The following is a 7113-nucleotide window of genomic DNA, read 5'->3' on the forward strand; positions in this document are numbered from 1 at the left end:
TTCGTACATGTCATCTGTGCTTTCATATCTTTAGAGGTAACCTGAGCTGAACCTTCAACTAGAGTCTATGTGGGTTTAAATGAACTTGGGAGTTAGTTTATAATGGGCTATAAGGTAAATGACAGGTGTTTGAGTAGTACCATATATTTTAGAGATCGATTTTGCAGAAATTAAACATCCCATCCTTGGGCACACAGTCCTTGGTACATTAGGACAAGGATTCATGGGGCAAAATCCTGAACCAGTGGATCATCAGAATCCCCAAGGCAGCATCAGGATTTTCAATGATCCTTCAGGCAGATGACAGTGCAGAGGGAAGGATGACATGATAGCATATCAAAACCAAGGGATGAATTTGCTGCTTCAGGCCAGTGTGTCCAGCCAGAGCTTCTGGGTAGCGACTTTTTCTTCCATTCAAAACTTGGGTTGGAACTGGAGAGTAATTCTTCTAATAATCTACACCCACTGGCAGCTATTTTCCTTGAATATAAACTCCTTCTTGCATGTTACAAATATTCCAAAAAATCTGCCCATAGTTGCAAACAACTCCCTTCCCTTAGAAACTATTACAGATTTAAATAAGTAATCACTCCAGAAAGTAGATAATTCATCCCATTTTCCATTTGTGACCCACCTTGCAGCTGTCCCCCTGACATGCCTTAGTTGTTTTCTGTCACAACCCTATTGTTTGGGAAAATATTCTCATCTGGTTACACGACTGTTGAAACTTGCCTGTAAAATGATGAGCCACTTGCGGCAATGCCACAGCCTAGGGAATTAGTTGCTATTAAAATCGTGTTCAAACCAGGGCGTTGCCAAGGTGCCGACGTCTTGGGAAGCTGCCTGGAGGGCTTTGGCTCTCTAACAAAGACTTGAAGATGGCAGAATCTCAGTGGGGTTTCTAAATCATGGACAGGCAGACAATTTGAGGCCACAATCGCCTGGAGACCACTCTAAAAGCCTTAGTGAGTGAAACCTCCTGGGTTTTAAAAGCTTTTAATTCACAAGAGCCAGATGTGGCCAATGTGGGCAGGTAAAGTAGGGAAGCTTTGAGCTGAGAACCAAAGCCAGAAAAAAGAAAGGTGAAGAAAAGCATGTCATTGACCCATTTTTCACTTTCTCCATCATATGCAGCTATTCATAAACCCAGAACACTTATCCAAATAGCAATTAATACACAGACTAGCATGTTCCTGCTTGTACCTGAAAGTTGTAAATGGCAGTAAAGTCAGCCGTGTGTAAATGGTGTAGTGACGTGTGTGAGACATACCAGCACAAGACATGCCCACACTTTTCATTTTTTGTCAAGTCTGGATTAGCCTGAGAGAGGGGACTGTAGGCGTGAATCATACAGCCAAGGACCTGGAGTCTCTCCTTTTGTGTTAGTGTGGGATGTATCAGAATAATGGTCCTCGCAGCAGGCTGGTGCTTCCAGTGGCATTTTTCTCAGGCTAATGTTAAAGTTAATTTGCATTCCCTGATCCCACCCAGACTCTTCTTTCCAGGGTCAGTGAGGTGGAAGGGGGAGTGGGTTGAAGCTGTCAAGAAGCTCTGTAGACTTGTCCTTGTATAAGTGGTCTTCACATTTTTCTTTTACTGTCATACTTTCTAAAAGAATTTTGAAAACCTATATGCATTTGCACATTTTTAAGTTGACATCTATAATATTTCATCATTAAGCAGCTGCAAATCATGTAATTTATGGTACATTGCCCATATTAATTTTTAAAATTAAACTGACATATGATTATTGTAAATGTATCCAGTGGGATGTAAATATTCTACACCTCAATTCCCACCATAGTCTTATGAAGTACTGTATGTATGCAAATCTATGTTAGCTGACAAACATTTAACATTGTTGCTTGCTCTTCTTAAATTTCGACTTTCATTTCATTCCACATACTGTATTTTAACCTAGTATATCATTTTAACCTATTTTAAAGAAACTTATTACTCAATATCTTTTCCGCAGCAAAACTAAGACTACATTGAAGGTTTTATTTATTTTTATTTCCAGTGAAATAGGTGTTCAATTTATCTGATAATCTTTTGGTAAAAGCAAACAAAAAGGAGTCTAGATAAGTGTTCACAATAATATAAAACACTTCTCACTTCTTATGTGTTATTTTTACTTTAAAAAAGGTAACGTTGGTTTGTTTTTTAAGTTAAACATGAAACTTATCACCTCCTTTTCCTTGAAATACAGAACATGCAAATGAGACATGGACCAAGACCAAATGAATGAGAGTTATCTCCAAGCTCTTTCCCTTTGCAAAAAAATAAAGAAAATGCAGAGAGAGCACACTTCCTAGGAAATGAATATTTCCCAGCATGATTTTTATGAATGCTGAGCATTCTAAATCTACAGGAGGGAGACAGAGAGAGAGAGATGTTGGAGCCTTGCCCTGTGTGTATTGGTTAGAGAGGAGACAGGCCCAGCTGCTTCTATTACTTCTCACCTGCACTCTCTGCTGTATTCTAACAGGATTTGCTGTCAGAAGTAAGGCATTCCTTGATAATATTTGCTCCAGAGAAGTGGTTAAGTGAAAAGTGTCACTCCTCCCTCCTGTAACACTCTACAATACATCTGAATTTATAACATCCCTATGTGTAAAGCCACACCTCCCTAAAAGCCACACTTTTCTCTTAATGAAAATATGTACTAGGCAGGAGAAGATATAAAGCCCAGTAACAAATAAAGGAGGTTTCATAAATACTAATATTTGAAATTGTCCCCTTCTTTGGAACCCAGGAGGATTTTTCACTCTGGGGCAAAATCCTATAATAAAATTGGGATGGATGATAGGTGCCCTCTTTCCTTTGTAAAGTAAGAGAAGGGCAGTGCAACCTCTGTTCAAATGCGAAAAAAAAAAAAAGGAAAACAAAACAAAACAAACGAACAAACAAAAGTCCAACTCCAAAGGCCTGCATGAACATGCTTGCCACCTGAAACAGATGAAGTGTAGCTTCTGTCTCGCCGTATTTCACTTCTGCCTTTTGCATCTCATGTGGATATGTCTGATTGGCAGAGCCTAAATCTCATGCAGAACTCTAGCTGTATTGGGTCTGGCAAATACAGACTTTCCCTTCCAGCCTCTGCATTATAAGAAAGCATTGAGAAGATTGGCATGGATATTGAACAATCCAATCCTCACTCTCCATGCAGCTGGAAAAGCCTATAAAGTGACGGCGAGACCTTGAAAGATGGAAAGGTTTAAATGGCCATCTCTAACTCAGCAAGAGATGAATTGAACTTATTGTCTCCGCCCCTGTTTTCCAAACACCTAATCATGTACCAACCCTATTCTTCACCTATGCTTCACATTTCAGTGATGACACCAGTATTTACTCAAGAAATCTGAATATCTGTTTTTGTTCTTTCTCCTTCCTCCCACTCCATTGTATCAATTCTATCCACTCAGATCTCTTATATCTTGTTCCTCCTCTCCTTCCTCATTGCCAATGTCTTATTTAAAGCCTTCATCCTCTCTCATCTGGACATTTGTACTTACTCTCTCACTTGCCTCCCTGCCACCAGTCTCTGAGCTCCATAGTACTGCCAAAGTAATATTATGAAAACATAAATTGATTAAATAATTCAATGATTTTTCCATCTCCTTAAGCAACAGTTCTCAGCCCTGGCTGCACATTAGAGTCCCCTGGGGAGCTTTTAAGGTCCCAACGTCCAAGCCATTTGCCAGTTCAATTCAATCAGAATCTCTGGGTAGGACCCAAACATAAATATTTTTAAAACTCCCCCACCAATGCTCAGCCAAGGTTAAGAACTGCCGTTGCATGCAGGCCATTCTCAGTCCAGCTTCAGAGTCACAGGCTGTCATTCCCCACATGTAAACTCCAACCACACCAAATATCTTTCAGTTCCCAGACATGTTCTGCCCCTCACCTCTCTGGCTTTGCATGGCATGCTTCCTGCCACTGCCTGGAACTCCCTTTCTCCTCCTTTGACCTGGAAAACTCCTACATATCCATGAGTACACTTACCCATGGAGGGTGTGCACCCTACACTTTGCACACTTACAATTACAGCACTTCCCACACTGTATAAGAGTTAGTTTAGGCCGGGCGCGGTGGCTCACGCCTGTAATCCCAGCACTTTGGGAGGCCGAGGCGGGCGGATCACGAGGTCAGGAGATCGAGACCATCCCGGCTAAAACGGTGAAACCCCGTCTCTACTAAAAATACAAAAAAAATTAGCCAGGCGTAGTGGCGGGCGCCTGTAGTCCCAGCTACTTGGGAGGCTGAGGCAGGAGAATGGCGTGAACCCGGGAGGCGGAGCTTGCAGTGAGCCGAGATCCCGCCACTGCACTCCAGCCTGGGCGACAGAGCGAGACTCCGTCTCAAAAAAAAAAAAAAAAAAAAAAGAGTTAGTTTATTTGCATGGTTGTTTCTCCTTTAGATCCGTTGCTCATTGAAAATGGGAAGGAGTCATCTCTCTGTCTCCAGGGCCTAGCACATTTCAGGGGATTCTCAGCACACATGGGCCAAATGAGTGAGTGAATGAATTAATGAATTAATGAGGCATAGATGAAGCCGTTGACTCTATGCGCTTCACCTACTCCTCCAACTCACTACGCTGTTCTAAGGATGTTAATTACAGGGAAGGCCCACGCCCAATTTTTTTCTCCATCAAACATTCTCATTTATATTTCTTGGGCTACAGTGGAACATGAAAACAAATGCTAAAAGCAATACAACGCTGATGCGACATTAATATCTGATTCCTCTTCTTTAGGGTAGAGGAAATATGTTGTCTGGTTCTACGTGGACGCTCAACTCATTTTGTACTATTATTGTGATTACCATTATTATTGTTATTAGGTAATTCTAATCTGGGTCCATTACATCAAAACACACACCTTTAGATGTCAGGGCTTTTATACTCCTTATGGAGAACTCTCGGTCTCGTTGCCTGCAATTATTCAAGTATCTTTTACCTGTAATTCAATAACTCTGATTATCCTGTTGCAAATTCCCTATGGACACCTATGCAATGCTGGAAGTATAGTTATTTTTCTCCTTCAAGATCTGCTGCCTGTATGCTCTTTCTTGACCTTTTCCCCTCTTGCTCTTCTTCACCCACCTCAACCCACCCCATGCCAACTTTCACCTGAGCACTCCCTCGTCTCCCTGTGTCTTGCTTTTCACAGGGGAGGTCAGAGGTTAGGTGCAAGTGAGCACTACTTGCAAAAGTCTCTCCACCTTGCAGAAATCATACTTGGGTTACTCCCTTTATTACATGCTCAGACGCTTGACCAGCAATAAAGAACTGGAAGCTTTTCTGATTAAGCATTTAGTGACCATCAGAGCAGCACTACATTTAGAGACTGGGTAAAAATCGTCTCTTGAATATATTGCAGGAAGTGCTTTGAGAACCTCATGACAGCCTCAACCTGGGCATAACACTTTAAAATAAAGTTTTTTTGTGATCTTTTCCTTCACTACAAAAAAATGGACATTTTTTAAAACTGGAAAATACAGGAATGTATACAGAAGAAAATAAAAATCTCATATAATCCTATCAGTAAGAAAAAAACACTGTTAATTGTTAAATTGCATTAAAAAAACACTGTTAATTGTTAAATTGTATTTATTCTATTTTTCCTATAAATAGGAGTTTCTTACACACAGAGTAAGTAGGGCTTTATACGGTTCTGTTTCCTGATATCTCACTGACATTATAATCTAAACACTTCTTCATGCCATTAGAATGTCTTCATAAACACAAATGTAAATGACACATAATATTGTATTTTGTGCAGGTACCAAAATTTCCTACCATTCTGATACTGATAAAAATGTATTTTGTTTCAATGATGGTCATAAATGTCTGCATACATTATTATTTCACACATTTCTCACATTTCTCATTGTTTCTTTAGGCTAGACTGCTAGAAGTAGAATGACTAGCACAATGAGTATGAATATTTTAAGACAATTGATAAATATTGCCAAATTGCTTTCCAAAACCCTCCAGCAACTTATAATGTAAGCAATAGTGAAAGTCTTCATCTCGTCAAATCATGGCCTAACTTAACTGCATTATTGCTAAAATGAGCATTGTGTGAATAAATAAGTGGTAGAGATTTTTTAATGGGCAGTATATAAATAATCCATTCTAAATGCTGGGGTTCTGGAAATTTTAGCCCTTTCTGGCCACTGTAGAATAGGCTGTAATAGCCTGTGAGGCTGTGACCTCAAATATTCAGTAGTACAGCACCTGAAGTTAGTTTCTCATCAGAGTATTATATGTGTTGGGTGACTCTTCCAAGCAGCTCTCCTTCTCAAAGAGGCTGGCTCAGGAACCCAGAAGGCTTCTGCCTTGTAACTTGGCCTTCCCAAAGCCCTTTACTTCCAGCCCTATGATTGGAAAAGAAAGAGCATGGGGGAGGCACACCCACTTTTAGCTGCCCCAAACTGTAATTATATTTCATTCTTCTCTTTCCTATTCCAAAAAGCAATAATTCAAGCATTCTTCTGGTGTGATATAAAGTTTAGTCTATGTGGTTTCCCTTTCCCAACTTCTTCTGAAAATCTGCCAAAAAACATTCACATGTTCATAAGTCCACCTTAGTTGCCATTTGTTTACTGAGCTCCCCACCTTACCCTGCCATTGCTCCACTCTCTATTCAAGCCTTTCCAGGACACACAAGTTTCAAGCCTTTCCAGGACACACAATTCACCCCATTTGTGGGCACACACATCCATACCTCTCCCATGATGAGCGCTTCTGGTGTTACTGGCTCCAGGCCTGGATGGTCACTCCTGCTCAGCCTCTGCATCTCTTAACTCTGTCTTCATCTCTGCTTATTGCCTGGCATGTTCTCTCCATGTGGATGCCCTCGTCAGCTAACACACTTCTGGTTTAGCAGTCTCCATGCTGAAAGAATGCCTCTTTTCCAATACTTCCTAGGCAAGCAGCAACTACAGACGCTTGCTACTGTGTCCAGACTCATGGGAACTCTTTGAAGATAAGAAGATGGTCTGAGGAGAGCCAGGATCAAGCGAGGGTGGAATATAGGAGGTGGGAGTCACTGGATCGGAGATGGCAAATGTGTGACAAACATGCTGCCAGCACTCTCCTCACCCACA

This window comes from Homo sapiens, chromosome 11 (genome assembly GCF_000001405.40).
Source record: "Homo sapiens chromosome 11, GRCh38.p14 Primary Assembly".
Lineage (NCBI taxonomy): Eukaryota > Metazoa > Chordata > Mammalia > Primates > Hominidae > Homo > Homo sapiens.